The sequence below is a fragment of the Homo sapiens genome, chromosome 5 (assembly GCF_000001405.40).
Source record: "Homo sapiens chromosome 5, GRCh38.p14 Primary Assembly".
Classification (NCBI taxonomy): domain Eukaryota; kingdom Metazoa; phylum Chordata; class Mammalia; order Primates; family Hominidae; genus Homo; species Homo sapiens.
The window spans coordinates 181,342,142-181,370,080 of record NC_000005.10 but is presented as its reverse complement, the minus strand read 5'-3'; the positions used below and the strand labels follow the sequence as shown (position 1 = coordinate 181,370,080).

General features: G+C 36.3%; 1 protein-coding gene across 2 annotated transcripts; it reads right to left on the bottom strand.

Annotated features, from left to right (window-relative positions):
* Positions 1–50: 50 nt before the first annotated feature.
* OR4F3 (olfactory receptor family 4 subfamily F member 3) lies at positions 51–27,939 on the bottom strand. 2 transcript variants are annotated; one of them, NM_001005224.2, is made up of 2 exons: positions 27,864–27,939; positions 51–6,935 (listed from the first exon to the last, which is right to left on the bottom strand). In NM_001005224.2, exon 2 carries the CDS (start codon positions 2,792–2,794, stop codon positions 1,856–1,858), a length of 939 nt encoding a protein of 312 aa, NP_001005224.1. In that variant the 5' UTR covers positions 2,795–6,935; positions 27,864–27,939; the 3' UTR covers positions 51–1,855. The 2 variants fall into 2 exon arrangements, with proteins under 2 accessions (NP_001005224.1, NP_001395315.1); NM_001408386.1 differs by lacking the exon at positions 27,864–27,939 and having other exon boundaries at positions 1,819–2,813.

The following is a 27,939-nucleotide window of genomic DNA, read 5'->3' as shown; positions in this document are numbered from 1 at the left end:
CTGTTGGTGGAAATGTAAATTAATACTATTATGAAAAATAGATAAAAGTTACTCAAAAAACTAAAACTAGAATTACTATATGATCCAGCAATCCCACTTCCTTGTATATATCCAAAGGAATTTAAGTCAATATGCTGAAGAGATATCTCCAGGCTCATGTTCATTGCAGCATTATTCACAATACCCAAATATGAAATCAACACAGGTGTCTATCAACTGACAAATGGATGAAGAAAATGTAGTGTATATATACAATGGAATACTACTCAGCCTTAATAGGAAGGAAAACCTGATATATGTGACAACATGAATTAACCCAGAAGATATCACGCTAAGTGAAATAAGCCAGGCACGAAAAGACAAATATCACATGATCTCACTGATATGTGGAATCTAAAAAAGTTGAATTCATAGAAGTAGAGAATGGAATGGTGATTATCAGAGGCTAGTAGTTGGGGGTAGACATGGAAAAGGTAGATGTTGATAAAAGGGTTCAAAGTTTCAGTTAGACAAAGTTTCAGTGAACTATTGCACAGAATGGTGACTGTAATAAATAACAAGGTATTGTATGTTTCAAAATGACTAACAGAGTAGATTTTAAATGTTTTCACCACAAAAAAGATATGTATGTCAATAAGATAGACCTAATCTTTCCACAATTTAAACATGTATCAAAACATTACATTGTACCCCATAAATAGATACAATTATTATTTGTCAATTTAAAATTTTTCACTAATTTATATTGTTATTGTTGCACCAACTCCTTTCCACCAGGCAGATTCTCATAAAGACTATTTTCTCTTTTACATGAAGCATTTCCTACACACCTCTTAATCACGGTAGCATTGACGTCATTCCACCAGATTCTATCTCCAGTGTTAAAATAATCAAGAACCCAGAAATCTCCACCAGGGGGCAACCAATGCGTATCAAAGTTTCCCACTTTCCTTTAGATTTACTTATGGGTAACTTATGGGAAAAAATACTTAAGTACTTCCCTTTTTAAAGAAAAAAATTATATGAATTCTACAAAATTATGGCAGAAAATTTAAGAAGAGCAGATGCTTCCCAACTCATTCTAAAGGGCCAGCATTACCCTGATTCTGAAACGAAAAAGCTTTACAAAATCCAAGATCCATTCCTGACTAAAGATAAAAGAAATTTTCAGCAAACTGTGAATACAGAAAACTTTCTCAGCCTGTTAAAGAGTACCTATGAAAAAAATTATAGCTAACATTATACTTAATGATGAAATATTTAATATATTTCATAACAGGAACAAGTCAAAGATGTCTACTCTAACTAATTCTACTCAGCATTCAACAAAATGAATATAGTGAATTCATACTAGAATTTTAAAAGCAAATGTCTTTATTCACTGACAACATAATCATCTATAAAGAAAATCCTACATAACCTATAAAAAACTGATGGAACTTATAAGTTTTGCAAGTTTACAGGATATAATGTCAAACAAAGATCTATTATGTGCCCATAAGCTAAGAATAAACAATTGTAAATTGAAATAAAAATGTCACTTAAAAGGGCATCAGAAATATAAAACTTAGAGATAAATATAAAGTACATATGCATAAAGTACCTGTTCACCAAAAACTACAAAACATTGCTGAAAGAAATTAAATGGGCATAATATAGATGTAGAGATGTGTTGAATTTATGACTCATTTTGAACAAGGAATATATTCATCATATATTCATCAGATAAGAATTATGTTACAGGTCTAATAACATTCAAATCAATACATAATGTCTCATAGTTCCTGAATCTAAAATATCAAAGAAAGAAACATAAAGCCATATCATGTTTAATGAGAAGGGCTTATTATATCATTTATGAGATCCTCTTGTAAATCACTAGCTGTTTGCATACTCTCTTTATTGCTGCCTTCATCTCCTTATTCCTGAATGTATAGACAACTGGATTCAGAAAAGGAGTGAGAACTGCATCAAAAATAGCCAGAAACTTGTCCATCTGTGAATTAGGGTGTGGCCGTGTATACACAAACATGGGTGGACCAAAGAACAAAAGGACCACTGTGCTGTGAGCTGAAAGAGTGGAAAGGGCCTTGGATGAACCACCTGAGGAATGTTTCCAAACAGTAAACAGGATGAAGACGTAGGAGATTAGAAGTATGAAGAAAGTACCCACACAGATAAACCCACTGTTAACAGTGACCATGAACTGCAATCTGTAGGTGTCGGTACAGGCTAGTCTGAGAAGCCGAGGAAGGTCACAGTAGAAGCTGTCCAACACATTAGGGCCACAGAAGGCTAAATTAACAAGAAATGCCAGTTGGAACAGGGAGTGACTGACACCAAGGGTCCAGGCAACAGCCAGAAATGAAAGGCACATTCTTGGGCTCATAATGGTCAGATAGTGGAGGGGCTTACATAGGGCCACATATCTGTCAAAGGCCATGGCTATGAGCAGCACCATCTCCACACCACCAACGACGTGGATGAAGAAGATTTGAGCGATGCAGCCTCCAAAGGAGATGACTTTGCGCTTTCTGAACAGGTCATAAATCATCTTGGGAGAAGTGACAGAGCAGGCTCCTAAGTCAATGAAGGAGAGACTGGCCAGTAGAAAGTACATGGGGGAGTGTAAGTGAGGGTCAGTGGTCACAGAAAACACAATGAGGATGTTTCCAGTAATGCTTGCCACATAGAGCACAGAGGAAAACACTAGGAGGAGGAGCTGGATCTCCCATGAATGAGTGAGTCCCAGAAACAAAAACTCAGATACCACTGAGTGATTCTCTCCATCCATTGGTCCAGCCAACTGGGCTGTGGCTAAAATTATGAGAACTAAGAAAATGGGGAGGAAATTGTGATTATGAAGATAATAATATGTACTAAAATCAATATTGCAATGTCACTATGAATAAATAGTATACAGTTATTCTGTTCCTCACATATTAAAAACAAAAAATCAACATAATATTATCACAACATGTGAGCTGCAACCTGATTTAAACCCATCATCAATACTTTCAGTGTAATGTCTGATCTAAAATTAACAGATTAGGTAAGAACAAGATTCCTGACTATCCATGAAATTCATCAGGTGTTTAAATGACCTGTGATATTAACTATTCCTCATTTCCAACATATTCCATTTGTACTTATACATATTCTTATAATTTCCTTCCCTTCCCAGTTTGCACCCACAATTCTCTGACAGAAAGTAGACATAAGAGGAAAACATGATTAACAGATGGATTATCACTGCAGTAAGAGGTGCCTGGGACGGACTTAGTTGAGGTAGGCTGTGGATTGAGAGAATATAGAGACTGGGGTATGTGAAATCGGAAAGCCCACAACTGTAGCAGACTAGAGTAAGTGGACTTTCACAAGAAATAGAATCACCACCATTATCTACCACATTTTCTCATGCTTACTGCTATTTAAGTGCCTCAGTTTCTATACAATCTTTCACAATTATGAAGCCCTAAATGGCTTCCCATCCTGCAATGATTTCATAAGGAGCCTATGCCACCTGTCATGTAAGGCTTTTTCCATGCCTAATAAATATGTTTTGGAGGGATTTCACCAGTGTTTCTGCTAAGATACATGCATAAAATGGACACAGAGGTTGTGAGAAATCTCTGCAGTTTCTCTTTGTCTATACACATGAAAGTATTGAAGACCAGCACTTGGATTAGTTAAGATAATGTTTTAATTCATCACTGTCTCCTCCTCCCCTTGGTACCAGCTTTTATGTTCATTGCATTCCCCACCCTTTTAAGTACTCAGTACCTCCTGCATGGTAACCTATTCTGATATTTGATATTATCATGCTTAATTTGACTGAATCCATTCGGATATTTTATCTTTAAGAAATTTGTAGTTTTATACTTTTAATTTATGATAAAATTAGATTAATATCAAACATTAACAAGTGACTTTTAGGAAGGTATATGAGCTTTCTTATTGACTTCAAACTATAAAGTACAAACTGTGACACTAGAAATTTAGTCCTTTAACACATATTGTATTTATATGTGAAGTGGAGGGTGAGCAGAAAACAGTGTTATATTTCTCTGTGTCCAGATGGATACTCACCTCAATCATTTTCCTATAGTAGAAAGTAGTTCCTGAAAACACTTAATAGAGATTATTTTAGAAGTTGCTGAGGTACAAATAAAACTGCTATGCTGACATCATACTTTTTTGCACCAACAACTCCAGTTCTTCTGACACAAAGGACCATCTTCCTAGTGCCATAATTTATCTTAGACCCCAAAACTCACAGAGGCACACATCATATCTCTAATACTTGCTCACCACCACTGGCATGAGTCTCTCTCTATCCTCTTCTACGTGAAGTGATTATACTGTCACCTCTGGAGCTAACTGTCCACAGTCTCAAGATGCACACTTTTTACAACCAGAAGCCTATGGACTGGGTGAGGGAGCAGAAACAGCCACAGGTACTGCCCATCAGGGTAATGTAAGTCAGCATGCAAACAACTGATCAGATGAACATGAATAGCAAGGTGCTGAGGCACTGGGAAGAGGGACCGGAAAACTCTATAATTGTTGAAAAAGACTCAAGCCCTTGGGAAGGGAAATGCCTATGGAATTATATAAAGACCATTTTATCCAAGTTGGTCATCATTCAGATGAAAACCATGAGGCCCAGAAAAGTAAACTGAGTTTCCAGAATTCACACAATTGATAGAATAGGAACCAGAATTCAGGCCTCTTGCTTCCTATTCCAGAAAGACAAATTGCAATAATAATCAAATAATATGAGCAATCATCCAGTAAAAATAATCTGGTAAAAACAGCAAAACTCAAAAGAGTGATTTTTCCTGGTTAAGACCAAAACTAACCATAGATTGCTATACATAGTATCTATTATAAATACTGAATTATATAGCAGCCTGACAATAAATACATAAAATGTGTACACAAAGATTATTGAACCTGTACAATACAGTAGTAAATAGTAACTTTATATTTGCAAAGTGACTGATCATTACTATCAGAATTTGTTTACCCATTCTTCATATTTTGTTGGTCATATAACCAGTTACTACAACTGCAAAAACAACCTAAGGTCATGTTTCTGTGAAGTCCATCCTTTTGGTCTTTAAATTTTATTATCCTCAAAGGTCAATTATGATCTCAATCTTTTCTTGTAATTTTACTGACAATTCTCCTTCACACTGATTAGTTCTTTCTCTAATTCCTGTAAATGGAAAGAACCAAAAAAAGTTGAAAAAACATGTATTGTACATATAACAAACAATCATATGTGGTATACAATATATATCAAATGAGTATTAAGATAAACATTCAAAGAGTTTTAAAGAAAAAAGTGTTATAGATATTGGAGGGCAGAAGATACAATTGCCATTAAGAACAGGTGGAGGAGGTTATGCCAAGGACATTGACCTGACCCTTTAGGAATTAGTGAAAATTGAATAGGAGAAGAATGAGGTACACAATGTGTGAAAAATACCTAAATTGATATAACAGGAGGAGACCTTTTCATATCAATTATCATTACTTCTGTGTATATAACCATATTAGATACCCACAAACAAATAGAAAGTGGATAGTTCTTGATTGACAAGTAAGACTAATAATCCCAGATCATAGTAAGGTCTTAACTTCAAGTCAATAATCTTTATTACTTATGGTTCATTCCTCTCCCTCATGTTTTCCAATAATTTTAAAATGCATAATTAAAACAATTCTCATTTAAAAACATAGTAGCCATGACTAATGATCTTCCAGTGGGAAGGTACTAAGACTTTACAACATGTTTCTTGCTGGGGATAAGACAGCCTACAGCCAGCATTCAACTCATTTTTCTAAAGTCTATGGATCAATTTGAAATACAGAAAAAGCAGAACAGAGATAAAGTTAAAAAAAGATTAAAAATATGGAAAGAATGGGAGAAAGGGGAAATTAGAAGATATGAACAATGATTTAAAAATAAAAGAGCCTCAAAGGAGAAGAGAAACTGCTAAGCAAGACTAAGGTAGGATGAAATACAGTAGTCTCTGTTTCTGAGAACACAGGTTAAAAAGAACATAAATAAAATAAATTTATCACCTTTAATACACTCATTCAAGGATGCTACTGAGTTTGACTCTGGGAATTTCTCACCTTTAACACACTCATTTGGGGATGCTACGGACTTTGACATTGGGTTGCATTTAACGGGGGAGAGAAAGGGCAGTTGCTTCTATTATCGCCCTTTTGGACTCACAGAGTTTCTTTGAAAAGCACAGATGATAATAAATGGAAATATTGCCTTTTATACTATACAATAATATACACATGCAATTCACTGGAAAAAGTATACTTGTTACTATGATTTGAGGATACTACCATATACTAATCAAGAGAAACACATGTACAGAACAAAGAAGGCACATGAAATTTTTACTAGTGTGTGTTTTCCTTGTGTTCTACCACCCCAGGAGCAGCTTCTGCTACTGAAGGTCACAGTAGAGTTATTTCCAAAAGTTGTGGGTCTGCAGGGTGGACTTATCACATAGCTGTTTGCCAAAATTCAAAGTCCAGAAACCATTTCCAAATTTTCACCTCTTTTATCTTCAAATCCTAAAACTATGAAAATTCACAAACTTAGCTCCATACATTATGGTAGAAAGGTTAATAATTTGGACTTTGAGGTTGACCAGGCCTGATTTTTGAATAAATTCACAAACTTACCTCCATACATTATGGTAGAAAGGTCAATAATCTGGACTTTGAGGTCTACCAGGCCTGATTTTTGGATCCAGGCTGCAACACTCACTTGCTGTGTTAACGTAACAAAGTTCCTAGACCATGCTGAGCTTCAGTTTACTTGTTATTGAATTAGGGATATAGCGTTCGAAGGAAGAAGTTCTAGTATTTGATTGCACAGCAGAGAAATTATAGTTATTGAACTGGGGATATGTAGATAGACATAATAAATTTTAGTATTCAATTGTACAATGGAGAAATCATAGGGAACAATAATTTATTATATATTCTAAAATAGCTAGCAGAGAAAAATTATAATGTTCCCAACACAAAGAAAAGATAAATATTCGAGGTGATGAATATCCAAATTACTCTGATTTGATCATTACACATTGTATACATGTATCAAAAATATCACATGTACCCCAAAACATGTACAACTATGATACATCAATAAAAAACAACAAAAAAACCAAAAGAATAGAAATCAAAAATAAATACATAAATACATAAAATAGGGATAATAATACCTCCCTTGCTTGCTTGCTCCCTTGCTCCATTTGTAAGAAATAAGTGATATAATATAGGTAAAAATACTTAACCTCATACCTACCACATAGTATAGCACAATAAACGTTATTTATTATAATCTGAGGCCTACCTACATAAGTGACTTTCAAGTATAGAAAATTATTTCTCAAATTTTAAATACTCCCTGATTCTCAGGTATGGTAATTAGACCTGGCTTTAGGTAAACCTCTCATGTCTACACTTGGATTTAATCACTTAAGTATATTTCCCAGCACCCCCCCCAAAAAAAAATTGCTCCTAGGTGGACACACTAATCAAAGACTTCCTGAGAAATGCAGGAAGAAGTTTTGTCCTCTGACCACGCTACGCCCTTTCCTTGATGGTAAGCCCCATAATCTAAAGCCATAAGTTTCAATTCCTCACATAAAAAGAAAAAAAAATGTCTTTTATGACCACTTCAGATAACACTGGATATTTCCCTTGTCATTAGGAATGAGAAATGGGAGGAAGGTAAACTTGTAGACAGGAGAATTGGTAGATGCTTGAAAGGATTTCTGAAAACTGTGCCTATCCAGGTGTACAAATGTGTTGACCAGCCAAGGCAAAGCAGTCAAACCATACAATACGTTATCCTCAGGAAAATGGACTTTTCTCCCAAATTGCCTTTTTCATGAAAAATATAAAATTCTCCAGTTTCAACCTCATGTTAAATTTCACATGTGAAGAAAACAGTCATGCACATCAGAAAATTAAATGGCGAGTCAAGACCAAATTCCTAGTCACAGTTATGTTCTGTTTCCAGTATTACCTTCTCACTTATTCATTTTGTTAAAGTGGAGCCAAAATAGAAGTGGGTGTCACACATCAAGAAAGACTGAAGTCGTACAAAGCCGATCCTTATCCAACGTGCATTAAAATATGCATCAGGCATGTGTGATGCATATAGTAGAAGTGGAACAAATCAGGCCATGTGCAGTGGCTCACGCCTGTCAGCCCAGCACTTTGGGAGGTCAAAGCAAGCAAATCGCTTGAGATCAGCAGTTTAAGAAGTGTAACAAATCCTCTACAATATAAGTAGAGTGAAAAGAGATAGCTACAGTGATGAGGGAAGGCACTATAGTGATGTGGCATTTGAGTATAGCCATAAAAGAGGATAAATATTACAATACATGAATATAGGGTCTAAAGAAGTCTTTTCAAGTAGATTGCAAAATATTTCAAAAATGGTAAGTTTGGTGTATGTTGAAGCATACAGATTGTCTACATCCTAAAAATCATTTTGGTGAAGAAAGGAAAATAAGAAAGGTAGTCAATATTCATTTGTTGCCTATCATTAGAAACTTCTCAAAGGTATATGAGAATTATTAAATAAATTTAGGGAGCCAGTGAAGGTATGGGTCCCGGGAATTGAGGATGAAGCCAGTAATTAGGGAAGATGCCCCATCTATAAGTGCGATGTATCAAATGGAGGAAAAGAAAAACGGAGGGAAGGAGTTCCCTTAAGAGAAGATTGAAATAGAGCAGACTTGGGGGGCTACACAGAGGAACTGGGACTACACAGTTCCAGCTTTAAGGCTATAGAAACAGAAATAGATATACTGGTAAGTAAAAACCCAAAGGATTGGTGACTTATCACAGCTGGAGTGAATACGAAGGAGCATGAACTCAAAGAAAATATCAAGATTTAAGCAAGAATAAATAGGACAATGGTAGGTCCATTTTTAGAAATTAGAAAGTTGAACATAAAATATGTCAGGGTGGAGAAAATAATCACGTGTATTTTAAGCAAATAAGAGTATTAGATATTGAGATGCTCAGGTGAAAACATATGACAGGATATATGGGGGAAAAGTACAAATTCAACATGTAATTGTATAGTAATCCATATAAAAATAATAGACGGATGTGTAAGAGTGCATAAGGTCCCTGAAGGAAATAATACACAGGAAAAAAAGATTAAAAAGCCAAGACCCAACTATAGAAACTATCCACATTGATTATGTAAAGTAGGAAAAGGAATCAATAAACTAGACAGAACATCACAGAGGTAGGAGGACAAGTGCTGGCCTAGAGGAGACAACACAGAAGCAGGTATCAAGAATAAAGGAGGAGAAGAGAGAACAAAGAGAGAGAGAAGAGAACTTCTGTGGCAGAAGATCAAGTGGGATGGTAGAATAAAGGAGAAGAAATACAAGAAAATTGAAATAAAATTTACAGAAATGTTCTACATTGTAAGTGGGCAGTTTTGACCTGGCACATTGTTGGCACACATTATAAATGTCAAATGTATTAATGAATGAATGAATGGATAATATAATGAATGTGATGGAGTTGTCAAAAGCTGAATTAATTAAAAGTCCCCACGAGAGGTTAGATGACAAAATTTTCAGAAACTTTCCATGCCACTCTGTTGTGACATCAACAGTGCTGGACCCTTGAAATCAAACCAAAAGGATTCCACCATGAGAATGAAAAGGGCTGAGAAGGGGAATGCTGGGTGACACAGAAGGTGACAAAGGGCGAAAGGTTTCTAGGCATTTGATAGACTGATGGACGTCCGCGCTGACCATAAGGCACAGGCCACACAGGAAGGAAAATGAGACCCAACGCGAAGAAAAGTAGGGCTAAACAGTCGGGAAAATGTGGGAAGAAGGATGAATAGTCATACGATCAACTCAGATTCCTCCCTGACATTCTTCTACAGCTTTATTCTCGTCCTTTGGGAGCCGAGATGTTCATTTTCCTACATTCTTAGCTGCCTACACACGGCGACTTTTCTCCACGGTGCCTGATCCCTGCTGCATCCTCCTTCTCTAGTGGCAACAGCAAATGGCCACACAGAAGGCAGACATTGCACCCAACTGAGGAGAATGTAATTCACTCATTGCCAGTCACAGACCTTGGCTCACCGATTTACTAAGTATAGATTTTATTTCTATCCCTCACCTACCTGTTTTGCCAAGGGAACTAAGAAAAGAGCATCATCAAAAATTCAGATAGGTATAGTTCTCACAAGATGAACCAGATCCAGTACGGCATCACTGCAGACATACACACAGAGCTGCATAAAACAGGAAGAGAGCTGCTAATCACAGCCCCAGAGGGTAGTGGCCAAAGTGATGCCTTGGAGATCTGAGAATGCCAGACTGAGATCACACGGCCTGGGGAATTACCGCCTATGGTCATTTTGGTTTTCCCGGGATAGCCAAGCCCAGAAACTGTTAATTGGGTGAAATAAAGCATATTTGATTTTCTTATGACAAAAAAGGCCTTTTGCCATTGTCTACAGATGATACTTTACATCTTTATTTTATGACTAAAGGTGAATTCCAGAGCAACATTAAATGTTGTCCCTTTAAATTTTTAATCATTTACATAACGATTACCATAATATTCAATTTAAACATAAAATGTAATTGAAAGTATGAGATTAATATGTGGACATGAAATCATATAATATTCCATGGAAAAAACAGAATGTATAAGGCAAAGAGGTTTAAAGTAACATCAAAACTAATGCTCACTATACAAATTCTATGAAATCCTCATAATTACACTGTGAAGCAGGTGTTGTTAGAGCCACATAATCTCAAACAAATTATTTATTATCTAAAATTACATAGATATTAAAAGGTTAAGCCATATATGAATTTAGGATTCTCTCAAAAATTTTTTCTCTTCCTCCTACATCAAACTTCCCTAAATTATAGAAAAGTCACAATGTTACCAAACATATTCACAAAACACATATAATCTTGAATCCAAATTTCAGTTACAGCAGAAAAAATAAAACTCTAGATCAATCTCAATCGTGTAAATAAATTCAGATTTCCAATCTAAGAGTCTCAATTTGACATACTTCTTTCTCTCTCTTCTTTCAAACCAGGAGAAATATAAATATGAGCCACAACCTTACAAAAGCTAGAAAATATTTACAATTCCACACAACAACACATGAAGAAAACCTTCTGGACATCAAAAGTTTAAACCAGTCAAGACTGAACACCAAGATAAAGTGCATGCCTCTGAAGAGCTTGAGCTAGTCAAGAAGCCCAGAAATCCCTAAAAGAGGTGTGTATACTGAGGACTGAGGATCAAAACCTGTGATCTTTACTTGGAACAGAAATATTGCAGCATGTGAACCCTCCACAGAGTGACAGAGGGAAAGGAGTTTAAAGGGAAACATGCAAATGTATCACCTTTGGAATAATTAGGACACGTGTGTGGTGTAATGAAAGAAGGCAAAAAGATGGGGAAGAAGCCAGACAGATGGCAATTTTCATTCTATTATGAAAAGAAAAGGATAAGTCACAAGTCACATGATGAAATTAACAACTATGAATCCACTCTAAGCCATAGTCAATCCTATAGCCTAGGAGTCATTCTAACAGATGAGAGTGTTTTGGAGACAAGATTCCAAACTCGTCTGCCTTCCATCATACTTACTACCCCCAGCTCCTCCTCCACAATATCCTTACACAAGTATCTAGAATATTCAAAGACTAATAATATTATATAATTATTTATAATAATTGTATTACAAAAATAAAACATGATGACCTTTATAAAAATACTAGAAGAAAAAGGGAAAATTACATAAGGTACAGAACATACAAATTATACCATGAAGCAGTAAAAAATAGGATCAAATTTTCTATGTTTTTTAAAAATATGCCTTCTCTAAAATGTTTTCTCTCTGAAATGATATTTAGAAGACATAATTGAAAATAAATACAAAATAAAGTGATAAAAAATAATCTGGCAAAATTCAGGATGTAATGAGTAAAGACAACCATGAAAGAAATGAAGATCAATAAAAGCAGGAAAAAAAGTGGGAAGTGGAGAGAATAATGCTGCTAAAAACACAGATAAGAATATAAATGACAGGCTTAAATATATCCTGAGCAAAACAAAATAGAAAACACAAGAAGGTGAAATGTAACATTAAAGTCAGGTCCAACAAATGAGAAATTAGTGTGAAAGAGCTCACAATATCTGGTTAAAAAATTCAAAGATAAAAGAAAACTTTTCTGAAATGAAGAAAACATTGAATCTAATGGTTAAAGGGCTTATCTTTATCCAGAAAAAATATGTTATAGTATGACCACATCAAGGCAGATGCAACTGAATTTACCGGACTTCACAAACACAAAATAAACAACCCACAAAAAAAAAAAAAAAAAATAGAGTCCCCATGAGGCTTTAATGAAGACAACTATTAGAGGCCAGGCGCAGGGGCTAACACCTACAGTCCCAACACTTTGAAAGGCCAAGGCAGGAGAATCACTTGAGCCCAGGAGTTCAAGATAAGACCAGCCTGGGCAACATAGCAAGACCCCATCTCTATCAGAAAAACTTAAAAAAGAAAACTATCCACTAAAAATGAATAGAGATAACATGATACAAGTGAGCATTCTGAAGCCTAATATCAAAATGTTCTGGGGTTTGCGGTTAAAGAACAGAATGTAAATGTTACAAACCATAACTGTATAAGGACTAATTATATTCATAACAAAAATAAGAAGAGAAAGATAGTAGAAATATATTCTGGTCCATTCAACTTTCACAGTGGGAGAGAATCAACAAATTATGTTATGGGTGATTAAATATTATTTTAAAAGATAAAGGTCATTCTTAGAAAAATTAAAAATAACAAAATCAAATAAAGTTGGATGACGAAGGTGGGAGAGGAAAGTGGGTTTAAGGGGTAAAGTGGAACTATATTAAAAGAGTCAATGGAGAGCGCCCTTGGAAATAACACAAAAATTAAAGAACTAAATATAATTTATACAGCACATAACTAAACTATAAATCTTCAAATTAAAAGAAAATAGGTACATACAAAATATCACATAGAGAGAAATATTAATACCATGAAAATATTAAAATAAAAGCATAAAATTAATTCATTTATTTACCCTATTAGTATTTTTTGAACACCTATGTGCCAGGTATTGTGCTGAATGCCAGTAAGATATAGTTCCTGCATCTTGGAGTTTTCGTGGAGGAGACAGAGATTAATCAAACAATCACACAAATGTAAAATTGCAACCATAAAAATTACTCTGAAATACAATGAAAATTACTATAAGAGAGGGATTTGATGTGAGTCAGAGAAGTTTCCCCTAAGAAAGCAACACTGGAGCTGAGATCTAAAGGGTAAACAGCAGTTAACTGAGTGGAGAACAAAGGTTTTCCTGCAGGGGGAACAATCTGCTCCGCGAGGCCAGAGTGGGGCCTTGGGAGTTGTGCCTGAAACCACATTGTGAGGAAGTGAGGGGAAGCATTGTGCAGATAATGCTGAAATAAGTAGTGGAAGATGCTTCCTAAGAGAATGAGAAATCCAAGACTACTAAGCAGAAGAATGATTTGACCAGATTTCACATTTGCAAATATCACTATGGTTACAATGTATAGAATGGATTTTAAGGAATTCAAATTGGATACAGGTGAGTCAATTACAAAGCAACATGCTTGCCAAGGCAAGAAATTTGATTACTTAAACTAGATATGGGAGTTTTGGAAATAAGTAGATAAATTTGTCATATATTTGAGATAATAAATCACCATGACTTGATGGTAGACTTAGTTGGAGATGCCCTCACTAGTGCACCATCTAATGCTTCAAGTCTAATAATTATTCAATTCCTCCAGAGCCACCAATCCAATGGTTCTACCATATTTATGCTGTCATTCACTTTACTGATATCCTTCTTACCTTACCTCTTTTCCCACTTTATATTCCATGATCAATACCTTGCTCCCTCGTAATGATTGTACTCACTCTTCCAAACAACAATCCTGATAAATCCTACTCTCTGCCTTCTACATCTTGATACCACACAGCTATATGTGGCTAGATAAAACAATCACACTGACAATCATCCTATGCTTTCTGAATCCATCACTCTTCTACTTTTTCAGATCTTTTCTTTCTCCCTCATCCTTACCATGTAATGAACTCATTTTGCATGTCAAGGGCTAAAAGTTGAATATTTTAAAAGTTCTCATTTTCCCACTACTATATAAACCAACAAATACCTTTAGTCTGCATTCACAAATAACATAACAAATGAGCTCTTCATATTTCTATCTGTGGTGAATTAAGATGACTAGAAATTTTGTGGCACCATCCTGTTGAAAACGTGGGGACATATTCTTTCTCCTTGAACCTGGGTGGGCTCTTTGACTGCTTTGACCAATAAAATACAGTGAAAGTAAAACTTCCAGTTTTGATGTCCAGATGTTAAAAGCCTTGAAGCTTCCATTTCTACATCTTGGAACCAACGTGTGTGGGGTGCTGAGTCAGTATCGAAGAATTCTGCTTATTCTGCTTGCATTAGTCCATTTTCATGCTGCTGATAAAGACATATCCAAGACCGGGTAATTTATGAATAAAAAGAGTTTCATGGAATCACAGTTCCATGTGGATGGGGAGGCCTCACAATCATGGCAGAAGGTGAAAAGTATGCATTACATGGGAGCAGACAAGAGACAATGAGAGCTGAGTGAAAGGGGAAGCCCCTTGTAAAGTCATCAGCTCTCATGAGACTTATTCACGACCATAAGAACAGTATGGGGGAGCCACCCCATCATTCAATTATCTCTCACCAGGTCCCTCCACAACACATGGGAATTATGGGAGCTACAATTCAAGATGAGATTTGGGAAAGGACACAGCCAAACCACCTCATTCTGCCTCTGGCACCTCCCAAATCTCATGTCCTCACATTTCAAAACCAATCATGCCTTCCCAATAGTCCCCAAAAGTCTTAACTCACTTCAGCATTAACTCAAAAGTTGGCAGTCCAAAGTCTCACCTGAGACAGGGCAAGTCTCTTCCACATATAAACCTGTAAAATCAAAAGCAATTTAGTTATTTTCTAGATAAGATAGGAGTACAGGCATTGGGTAAATGCAGCCGTTCCAAATGGTAAAATTTACCCAAAACAAAGGGACTAAAAGCTCCAAGCAAGTCCGAAATCCAGTGGGACAGTCAAATCTTAAAGCTCCAAAATGATCTCCTTTGACTCTATGTCTCACATCCAGGTCATACTCATGCAAGTGGTGGGTTCCCATGGTCTCAGGCAGCTCCACCCCTGTGGTTTTGCAGGGGAGAGCCTTCCTCCCGGTTGCTTTCACAGGCTGGCATTGTATGCAGCTTTTCCAGGCACACAGTGCAAGCTGTCGGTGGATCTACCATTCCGGGGTCTGGAGGACAGCAGCCCTCTTCTCATAGCTCCACTAGGCAGTACCCTAGTGGGGACTCTGTGTTGGGGGCTTCAACCCCACATTTCCATTCCCCACTGCCTTAGCAGAGGTTCTCCATGAAGACCACCCCTGCAGCAAACTTCTGTCTGGAGATCCAGGCATTTCCATACATTCTCTGAAATCTAGGTGGAGGTTCCCATACCTCGATTCTGGACTTCCGTGAATCCACAGGCTCAACACCACATGGAAGCTGCCAAAGCTTGAGGCTTGCACCCTCTGAAGCCATGGCCTGAGCTGTGCCTTGACCCCTTTTAGCTGTGGCTGGAGCAGCTGGGACACAGAGCACCAAGTCCCTAGGCTGTACACAGGCAAACAGCAGAGGGGCCCTGGGCCCAGCCTATGAAACCATTTTTTCCTCCTAGGCCTCTGGGTGTGTGATGGAAGGGGCTGCCACAAAGATCTCTGACATGGCCTGAAGACTTAGCGATTAACATTTGGCTCCTTGTTACTTATGCAAATTTCTGCAGCCAGCTTGAATTTCTCCTCAGAAAATGGATTTTTCTTTTCTATCACAGTGTCATGCTACAAATTTTCTGAACGTTTATGCTCTGTTTTCCTGTTAAAACTGAGTGCTTTTAACACACCCAAGTCACTCTTGAATGCTTTGCTGCTTAGAAATTTCTTCTGCCAGATACCCTAACTCATCTCCCTCAAGTTCAAAGTTCCACAAATCTCTAGGGCAGGGACAAAATGCTGCCAGTCTCTCTCGATAGCAAGAGACACCTTTACTGCAGTTCCCAGTGAGTTCCTCATCTCCATCTGAGACCATCTCAGCCTGGATTTCATTGTCTATATCATTATTTGACATTTTAGTCAAAGCCATTCAACAAGTCTCTAGGAAGTTCCAAACTTTCCCACATTTTCCTGTCGTTTTCTGAGCCCTCCAAACTGTTTCAACCCCTGCCTGTTACCCAGTTCCAAAGTCGCTTCCACATTTTTGGGTTATCTTTACAACAGCACCCCACTCTACCAGTACCAATGTACTGTATTAGTCTGTTTTCATGCTGCTGATAAAGACATACCTGAGACTGAGTGATTTATAAAGAAAAAGACACTTAATGGACTCACATTTCCAGGTGGATGGGGAGGCCTCACAATCATGGTGGAAGGCAAAAGGCACATCTCTACATGATGGCAGACAAGACAGAATGAGAGCTGAGTGAAAGGGGAACCCCCTTATAAAATCATCAGCTCTTGTGAGACTTATTCAAGACCACGAGAACAGTGTGGGGGAAATACTCCTGTGATTCAGTTATCTCCCGTTGGATCCCTCCCACAAGACACGGAAATTATGGGAGCTACAATTCAAGATGAGATTTGGGTGGGGACACAGCCAAACCATATTGCTGCTGAATAGATCATGTAGACAGGCTCTCAAACTACACGGAGAGCAAGAGAGGCCCACCTTACCACAACATTTCATCCAATCCACTAATAAAACAGGCACATCACTGAAGCCACCTTCAACTCTCCAGACTACCCAGCTGCCAGCTGAATACCACAGATGGCTACAGTTAATACCACACGGAGCAGAATCATGTAGCTAAGCCCTGCTTGCACTAATACAAGTCCACAATTTTTTTTAAGTTTGTTGTTTTAAGCTGCTAAGTTTTGAGGTGGTTTGTGGTACGTGGAATAAGATGTCACTCTAATATAATATAAACTTAAACTATGTGGCATTGGCTTTGGAATCAGACAATGGATAGAAGCCAGAAGGATTTCACAAAGACTGTTAGTGAAAAGTGAACAGACTTCAAGGAAAATGATAGCAAAACCTGTAAAAGCATTCTGGGAACTGACAGTAAACACTGAATGGTCCTTAAGGAGACTGAAAACTTGAAAGAGCTTAAGAAGTCTACTGGAAAGGGCTTTAAGGATAATGAGAAAAAATCATCAGTGGAGGCTGAGGAAAAGGCACCAAAGTCATATTCTGATGGGAGAGTTAGAAAACGCTTGCCTGGAATGATATAAAAAATAGGAAAAATACCGAAAAAGTTTGTGGATCTGGCTGGGGAGATTTTTGGTGTCAACTAAAGAAAAAAATTAAGCTTTTAAGAAATTAAAGTTAGATTTATTTAGGGGTCTGAGAACAAGAGACTGAGGATTACAGCCTAGGAGAAGTCTTTCAGAGAGGTTCTGTCAGACTGCTCTGGTGAAGGTCTTTAGCCCACAGTTTATATGCAGGCTGTACATATACACCATGGAATACTATGCCGCCATTAAAAAATGATATCATGTCTTTTGCTGGAATGTGGATGGACCTTCTATTATCCTTAGCAAACTAATGCAGGAACAGAAAACCAAATACAGCATACTCTCAGTTATAAGTGGGAGCTAAATGATGAGAACTAATGAACACAAAGAATAAAACAGACACTGGGGTCTACTTGAGGGTGGAGGGTGAGAAAAGGAAGAGAAGCAGAAAAGATAACTATTGGGTACTAGGTTTAATACCTGGATGATGAAATAATCTGTACAATAAACCCCTGTGACACCAGTCTACCTATGTAACAAATGCCCCTAAACTTAAAATAAAAGTTAAAAAAAAAAGAAAATTAAAATCTTCTTATCATCTACCTGGTAATATGAAAAACACAAATCTTTCATTCATTCCTTTCAACTGATGAGGAAAATGAGGCATCGGGAGTTAGTAAAAGTCCACATTGAGATATGAGACCCACCACTGGCTGGACGCAGTGGCTCACACCTGTAATCCCAGCACTTTGGGAGGCCGATGCTGGTGGATCACCTAAGGTCAGGAGTTCGGGACCAGGCTGGCCAACATGGTGAAACCCCCATCTCTACTAAAAATACAAAAATTAGCTGGGTGTGGTGGCAGGCACCTGTAATACCAGCTACTAGGGAGGCTGAGGCAGGAGAATCGCTTGAACCCAGGAGGTGGAGTTTACAGTGAGCCAAAATCACGCCATTGCACTCCAGCCTGGGCAACAAGAGCAAGACTCTGTCGGGGAAAAAAAAAAAAAAAAAACCACCACCATCATTTTGCAAGTGTTACCACTATTGTGTGTTAATATTGTAGAAGTATTCCTAATTATGATTTCTTTGTATTCCTAATTGTAATAGCTTTGTATTTGAAAAATTATTGATTCATACTCTATATGTTATTATTTTGTATGTGATGACAACAGAATATATTATCATGCTCCTTTTGTGAATCTCATTCATAATATAAAGTATAAATTTGTGATTTTGCTTTAATTTGAAATATTAACTTCAAATATGTTATCACAATTTGATACAAACTATTGACAGTAAATCTGTGGATTAAGTAATGTCTTAGTAGGTATTGGGAAAATTTGAAACTAGTAACATGGAGGACTATTGTCATTGTTTATTTCAAAGCCAGTTAAAATTCTGCAAAGCAGTGTACATAAAAATAATTTCAAGAAATTTATAAAATACCGAGATTATGGTGTATAAACAACTTTAGATTCTTTGTTTAAGAAATTCTGCCAGTTTGTAATATATGCTTCATTCAAAGTAGCTAAGGGCTGTACCTGGCTAATAGTAGGCACCTAATATTTGTTGAAAAGGAATACTGAGTAGCTGGGACCTCCTGAGTAGCTGGGACCACACACATTTAACCTGTATTTATAAAATTACTGTTTAGAGAATAACATTTGATGGAATCATGCTTTTACTTTCTGCTTACGACTCAATTGTTTGTACTGACATTAACATCCCAAATCCTTAGCATGGCCTACAAGGCCCTGAGCAATGTGGCACCTGCTGAAGCCTGCTGCCTCATTTAATAACTCTTTGTCTCTTTCCCAGATCCAGCCACTCTAACATTTTTTAGCTCCTGGACCAAGACAAGCTCTTCCCAGAACCTGACCTTTGTACCTGTTCTTTATTCCTGGAGTATTTTTCCCCTGACAAATTACTTATCGTCTATCATAATTCAGGTTAAATGGCACTAACTCAGGGAAGGCTTCCCTAACTGCCTCCCTTCTCCAACCAAATTAGGAACAATTATATGGCCACATAGTATTGAATCAAGTTTATAATTTTAAAATAATTGGGAGATTTTGTTGTTTAACACTTGTTTTCACTATAAGACTGTAATTACATGCAAGTAAGAACCATGCCTGTTTGTTCACTCCTGCCACAGTCAGAATAGTGCCTGGAATATGCAGTAAGGGCTGAACAAGCACTAAATAAATGAACAAGTGAATAAATGGATATTGTCTCATTTTTAGAACAGAGTACTGAATGGATCATGAACACTATCTGGTATGTCACGTAGGTAATTTACAAGGGCTACAATTTCAGCTCAGATTTACCTTTTCCTGGATACAGGTCTTGATAGGTCTCTTGATGTCATTTCACTTCAGATTCTTCTTTAGAAAACTTGGACAATAGCATTTGCTGTCTTGTCCAAATTGTTACTAAGAATCAAGAGAGATATCTGACATGAAATGACATTGGAAAACATTAAACACGATTGAAATAATGCTAGCCAATATGGTTATTATTAGAAACCAATTACATTTTCAACTTAAAAATAGTAATACTTATTGCAGACTCAAATGTGCTTATTCTAAAACAAGTAAATGTTTGCCTATGGTCTGAGATTCTAATCCACGGAGTTCATTCTAATCCACATTCAACACTATCATGTACCAGTGGGCCTCATAACCCACCTAGCCCTGTGATTTTTCAGGTTCACTTTTCTAAACTTGTGAATTAAATATTTATTTTCTTAGTTCAGAAGAGGAAAAAAACTCTTGTAATTGTTGCCCATTTCAGGAGAAATCTTGCATATGAAAACAAGAGATAAATATACACAACTGAGGGCTGTGGTTTAAACAAAATCTTGAGAATGTTTTTTGACCTTATACATTTGTGCTTTAGTATAACAAAATGATATAGACAAAGGTAACTTTTAATAGAACCAGTCACTAAATTAAAAAAATGACAAATTCTTCTGCTTAGCTAAGCAACAGAGAAGGTAAAATACTAATTCAATTCATCAATTTAAGCAATACTCATTAAGAGCCAAGTATGTGCTTACTGAATAAGCTGCTAAGGTTTGGTGGTTACAGAGTGTGCGGTGAAATGATGTCTACATCACAGTCCAACATTCACAGAGTTTAAAAGCCTACCAAGAATCAAGACAGACACAAATACCTAACATAGACATTTGTATATGATAAGAGAGCCAGAGTACAATTTAGGAGAAGAAATTGTATGGAAGGAAGGTTCATTTCCATTAGACCAGAAAAGACAGCACATTTGAAGGCCTGAATAAGAAATATTCTGGATAAGATATTGTGGCTGCTACCAGAATGGCTCTTGATGATCTCTACCTCTTGGTATTTATACCCTTATATAATCTCTTTCCTATAGTGTAAGCTGGTCCCAGGTACTTGTTTCTATTGAATAGAATAGAACAAAAGAAATGAGATGCCACTTCTGAGATTAGATTATAAGATACTGTGAATTTCTTCTTGTGCCCTCTCCCTCTCTCTCTTTCTCTTGCCCTCTCATTTGAATGAAGCCAACTGGCATGCTGTCAGTGGCCCAGTGTAAGTCCTGTTACAAGAAATTGATGATTACCTGTAGCCAACCCTAAGTGAAGAACTGAGGTCCTCAGTCCTACAAATGGAGAGAAACTGAATCTAGCTAAGAACCATGTGAGTGAGCTGGGAAGAAGATCCACCCTCAGTTGAAATTTAAGATGACATATTGAGCAGACATACTGAGACACACTGAAAGTAAGAGAGCAGGAGGAAACAAAACCAGGGTCATACAAAGAACACAACTGATTTTGAGATTCTCACATAAGTATTACACCTTCAGTGAGCACGTGTACTAGAAATTTAAAAAATAAATAAAATAAACCTTCAAAGAGAGCTAGCAAATAAATTTCCCTATGGTCTCAGCTCTGAGTGGAGAGAGAAAATGTTCCCTGTGGAGTTTATAGCCAGAATCCAGCCTCAAACAGGTTTCAGCCTGAACTCACACAATCTGTGTGGCTTCCAAATTTGCAAGCTGAGAATTTAATTCAAAGTGGTCTCAGGTTGATAGCAGTCCAAAATGCTAGGTAGGAAAAAAAATCCTCTCTGGACAAATAAATCATCAAAGCAAGCTCATAAGAGCAGGTTTCAAAGGTCATGAGCTTCTAACACACACACAAAAATCACACACACAAAATGGGGGTAGCAGCAACATGGGTAGCGTATTCAAACTTGAAAAGACTTTAAATATTTGTATTATTAGATGTAGATTATGAAACACATATTTTAATGTGGTTAATTTTTTTAAGGAATCAAAACTATGAGTAAAGACCAAGAAAATTGTGCTGGATGGCCACTTCCACCATGGCTCCCCTCCTATTTAAGTCTGGGTACTGTGTCACCCGAAGTCTTCAGGCACATTGTTCCAGGTCTGGGTTTGCCTATGAAAGAAACTCATGAGAGCTGGAAATGAGGAGTGAAGAGGAGGTCTTCAAATAAAGCAGGCTTAAGGATTAGACATAGCAGGTTTGACAGATGTGATGGCTTGCAGAATCCTTTATGAGCTCCCACTGTCCATCTGGATAAGATTTACAGACCTTTCAGAAATTCCTATAAGCTTGGGTTCTGTGCCCACACTCTAGACTGTCAGGCTAAGATCTCTGATATAAAACAGACCTCTTCTGATTTTGTCTAGCTGCTTTTCTAATATCTATTCACCAAGCTCTTCCAATAATAGCATAAGGCCCTAATTAATATTAAACTTTTATCATTATAATACATAGGATGTCTTCTGTTTTCCTGATCAAATTCTGACTACTATTAAAATATAAAGAATTGTCCAGAAATATATAAAAAAAGAATCACACATTGATCTTCTTTAAATGAAAATATAACAATTGTATGGACTAGGATGATTACAGTTGTTCAGTTCTGACTGTTATTTGAAGAAAAAAGCAATAAGAAGCCTCAGCAACTTAACAGAAGGAGCTGCCATTTACTAGGAGAAAAGATTGTGGATGAGAGTGTAGCAAAGGTCAGAATTCTGTGAAGCTTGAGATGTTTATTATAATGAATTATCTTTTATACTCACTACAATTTCCTAACAATTTTGGGGTTTATATTTTTGAAAGAGATATACCTTTAATTTTCTTTCTTTGTACTATTGTTAGGTAACTTTGATGTGCAGATTATACTACAGTGAAAGTTGCCAATGACAAGGCAAAGTCACTTACATCAGACCCAAAGCAAAGTGGAGCCGGGTCATGAAAAAGGGGATCTTGTGTGTCTGTCCACGATAAGCACTATCACAAGGACTTTCTATAAACTCACAAGAAATTTCTGCCCACCCAGCACACTCTGTTTGTCCAGCTCATCCTGTAGGTGTTTTATAATAGGACCTATCATAAAAAATTCCTCAAGACTGCAGCATTTCAGATAAGCCACCCTCACAAGAACACTTGCCTAGCAATGGCTGTTTCTGCCAGTAAGTTAACACCAGCTCCTGCATCAGACCCTGTGACCAATGATGTTTGTTTCAAAACAGCTTGCATGGACTTCTTTTTGTCTTTACATATTTTCCTTACCTCAACCTCTTGGGATGCACCTATGATTGATCATAGCACAAATATCTCAGATTATAATCCTTGTTTATTTCCAAATAAATTTATTTCTTTGGAGATCCACTTTTTCTGTTATTATACATTGACATTGTTATTATGAAATTGGTTGGGTGATGTGTCTTATTTTCTTGTCTCCAGAAGAATTTCTGTAACAGTGCAATTAAACGTTCTTTGCATGTTTGCTAGAACTCACCTGTAAAATTGTCTGAGCAACCAAAGCCTGGTTTTTGTGTTTAGTTTTTCTTTTGTGATTGGGGAGGGGGGTTTATCGTACTGATTCAAGGTGTGAAGGTAACATCATTTTGATTTTATACATCTTCTTCAGTCCATTTAAGCATGTTACATAGCGTTGTTTGTTCTTTTCATGATATTCTTTACAGTAGTCTCCTAAATGTTCCCTCTGCTTCTGCCATGAGCCCCTACAATCTATTTCAACTCAGAAGCTATAGAGTTTGTTTAAAACATGTAACATATTATGCCACCTTTCTTACTGTAAAACATCCCATGGTTTCTCGTAGTATTTATAGTAAAAGTGAAATTTTTATGATGGCTTGAGAAACTTTTCCCATTAGATGCCCAAGTGCTGGTCTGGTCTGATCTTCTCATCTTCCCTTGGGTGATTCTGTGGCAGTCACACTAGCCTCCTTGCTGCTCCACAAAAACTCCAGCATGATCCTACTTCAGGATATTTGCCATTGTTACTGCATCTGCCTGGAACCTTTTCTCCCATATAAACATAGAGATTGCTCTTGCCTGTCCTTCAAGTCTATTCTTAAATGTCCCATTCTCTGTGAAGCTTTCCTGCCCACCCTATTTAAATTACAGACTTCACTCCCAATTCCCCATCTACTTTAAGAGTCTTCATTTATCATTCCTTGACAAACTGTAAATATACATGTTCACTTTTTTATCATCTGTCTCCAAATACTGGAATGTTAAGTTCTGTAATGTCAGATATTTCTGTTTGGTTCACTGGTGTATTCTTAAAGCATGTTACATACTAGGTATACTCAATGAATATTTGTTGAATAAATATCACATTGGGCTTATTCCAGAAATTCAAGCTTGTTTCAATAGTTAGAGCAATCTACAAATGTAATTCATTACATTAACTAATTAAAGGAGCTAAATCACATCACCACCACAATAATGCAGAAAACCACATTTGATACAACTCAATATTCATGTCTGCCTAACAAACATCTCATGATACTAGGAAAAGAGGAAGGGATATATTATTTTCATGTATAAAGCACTAACCATTGTAGCATGCCAATATACTCAAAATTCATTGAAATTCCTATCAAAATCTTAGCATTCCTCTTAGTCCTCAACAAAGCATTTCTAAAATGTGTATAGAAGACCAAAGGGCCAAAAGAGTCAACTTCTGAAGAAGCGCAAAAAGAAAGTTGAGGAAATCTTAAAACATGTTATTGAGCTTAAAGTTGCAAAAATAAACTCATGTACCATAATTCATGAGTAGAAAAATGGACTAGTGGAATAACATAAAAATAAAAACAATGCTTACATAAAATGTTGTAACTGATTTGGATGTCATTAGAAATCAGTAAGTAAATAGATGGACAATGTAATGAAAGATGCTAGGCAAATAATGTGGTAGGGAGAATAATGGCCCTCAAAGATGCCCATGCCTAACCCTGGAACCTGTGAATATGTTACACTGAATGCAATAAAGGCTTATCAGATGTGATTAAGGATGCAAACCGAGATGGAGAGATCTTCCTGGGTTACCCAGATGGGCCCAGTCTAATCACATGAGTTCTTAAAAATGGAGAACCTTTCTTAGCTGAGTCCAGAGAGAGATGTGACAATGAAAGAATGGTCAGAGAAATGTGACATTGCCAGCTTTAAAAAGAGAGAGGAGAGGCAATGAGAAAAGGAATGCTGATGTTCTCTAGAAGATAGAAAAGGCCAGGATATGGATTCTACCCTAGCCACCATAAAGAAACATGCCTGTCGACAACTTGATTTTAGTTCACTAAAATTCATGCCTGATTTCTGACTTGTGTACACTGTAAGATGACAAGTTTGTGTTATTTTAGGTCACTTAGTTTGTAGAAATTTGTTACAGCAGTAATAGAACAAGTGGTTATCCATATGAGGCAAATTAGATTGGATACCTATCTCCAATAGAAATCAATTCAAGGTGAATTCCAGGAAAATACTTAAAACATTTAGATTAAAAATAAATGAGAATTTTTGTTACTTTTGGTAGGTCATAGAACCAAGAAAAACAAACATTAAGGAGGAAAAATGAACATATGACTACATCAAAATATAAAGCTTCTCTATTTGGAAGATATCATAAGGTGACAAATCATAAACTGTAATATTTACAACATATATATAAGTGAATAAATATACATTTAGAATATATATGAACTCCCAAAAATCAACAGGAAAAATAAGACATAGAACAAGCAAAATGCATAAACAAAAGAAGGCAAAACAAAAATAATGACTCATAATTATATGAAAAGAAGCTCATCTTCATAGATGAGCAGATAAATGCAAATTAAAACCACCCTGAGATGCTTTTTACATCCATGAGCCTGATAAAAGTTAGAGTCTAAAAGTAATAATTAACAAAGATGGGAAGTAACAGAAAATCTTGTCCATTACTGGTTAAAGTATAAACTGATACAGCTACTTTATAGAATATTACATTATAGAATAAAGTTGTGAGTATGTATATGCAGTGACTCAGCATATTCATTGCTAGTATGTACTCAAGAGAAACTTACAGGAGTGGACTAGGAAGTAAATACAAAATGATTACAACATTGTTTGTTATATCAAAAAATAAAAAAGACACCCAATTTTCCAGCAAAAAAAATAAGTAAAAATAAATCCTGGTGTATTCTAACAATGGAATAATATATAGCCATTAAAATAAATCAACTATTACTGTACATATGAATGTAAGTATCAGCAAAACATATTGTTTAGTGAAAAACTAAGAAGCTGAAGAAGAATATATACAATATGGTTACATTTATATGAAGTCCAAAAACTTGCAAAATAAAGAAATGTATTTAGAAATAGATTCACATGTGAGAAAACTAGAAGAAAATTAATGAAAGGATAAGAGGGATAGCAGTAATTCTGAGTAGTTGAGGGAATTTCAATTGGAAAAAAATAATATCATATTCTTTAAGTCAGGTAGTGGGTATTAGCATTTGTTTTACCATCGTTCTTTATTCTTATAGCTACACTATATATTTTCAATGTATTTAATGTATTTTTTGCATAATTAAATATTATGCAATAAAAATGAGAAAACAAAAAAGTAGAAAATGATAAATTACAATAAAGAAATGGAGAAAAAATTATAATCTAGTTGAGTAATGGTATATTACATAGCTATTTTCTTAAGTAGATGTATGTACATGATGTATGCACGATTGTACATACATGTTCTTAATTATATATAAATATATATGTACATATTTTTAATATAAAATACTAAACAAAGTACACCAAAATATTAGCTCCTATGTTAGTGAGATAATGTTTTGTTTTTTTGTATTTTAAGTTTTACATAGTAGGTGTATTTTTCTATTTTCATACTGCTATAAAGAACTGCCCAAGACTGGGTAATTTATAAAGGAAAGAAGTTTAATTGGCTCACAGTTCAGCACAGCTTGGGAGGCCTCAGGAAATCTACAATCATGGCGGAAGACAAAGAGGAAGCAAGCCAGCTTCTTCGCAAGGCAGCATGAAGAAGTGCCGAGCAAAGGGGAAAGAATCCCTTATAAAACCATCAAATCTCGTGAGAACTCACTATCACAAGAACAGCACAGGGGAAACTGCCCCCATGATTCAATTACCTCCACCTGGTCTCTCCCTTGACCTGTGGGGATTATGGGGGCTATGGGGATTACAATTCAAGACGAGATTCAGGTGGGGATACAAAGCCTAACCATATCAGTAGGCATGTATTGAATTTTAAACTCAGAGAAAAATACTAGTGTTTTTATAGGATTCTTACTAAAGAAAAACCAGAAAGTAATAAACCATCTACGCTAAGACATAAAATTCAGTTGTTTAGTTACAAGATAGAATGTGGCCTTGTAAGAAAGCAAATTAACTTCTAACATACAAAGCCTTAGAGAAGATTCAAGTGACTGACGGATCTTAAACAGAGCTATTATTACAACTTGAACTGCAGTAAAATATCCTCAGCAACATAGATGTGTATGTTTCACTAGTCAGAGCAATACAAATTTAATGAAACTCCATTGGTGGTGTTTTTAATCAGACAATTTCTGAAGATGTCCTGGCTTATTCACAGATGCAAGCCAAATCTCTAGAAGAGTACCATAATAAGAAAAAAAAGAATACAGGCAATTGAGAGCTGTTCCAAAGTTTAGGGAGTTTTTGTAAGGAATTAATAAATAAAAATGTTCTTGAAAGAGAGAAATTAATATGCAGTTCATACTGCCAGAATTGCAGGCAATTTATCAAAGTCCCCTAATCCTCCAAAATCGCTATTTTTTTTTTTTGACACACACTTTACAGTACAGAAGAAAATGTCTCCGGCAATAAATCACAAAGTTAAAATTACCTAGTCTACAATTAACTACACAGTGATGGTAAATCATTTTCTACCAAAAGAAAGAAATGTCTTGTCTATTCAGGTTCTGCTCTACTTAAAAGTTTTCCTTGTTGGCGAGCAAGTGGTTAGAAAATCATATTTTATACGTACATTCAGCTTAACTATCATTCAGCTCAGGAAGATGACTCAGGGCCTTATCCATACCTTCAAGTTTGCTCTTAGCAAG

Coding starts and splice junctions, on each gene's coding strand:
- OR4F3 (NM_001005224.2), bottom strand. CDS start 2,794: ATGGATGGAGAGAATCACTCAGTGGTATCTGAGTTTTTGTTTCTGGGA.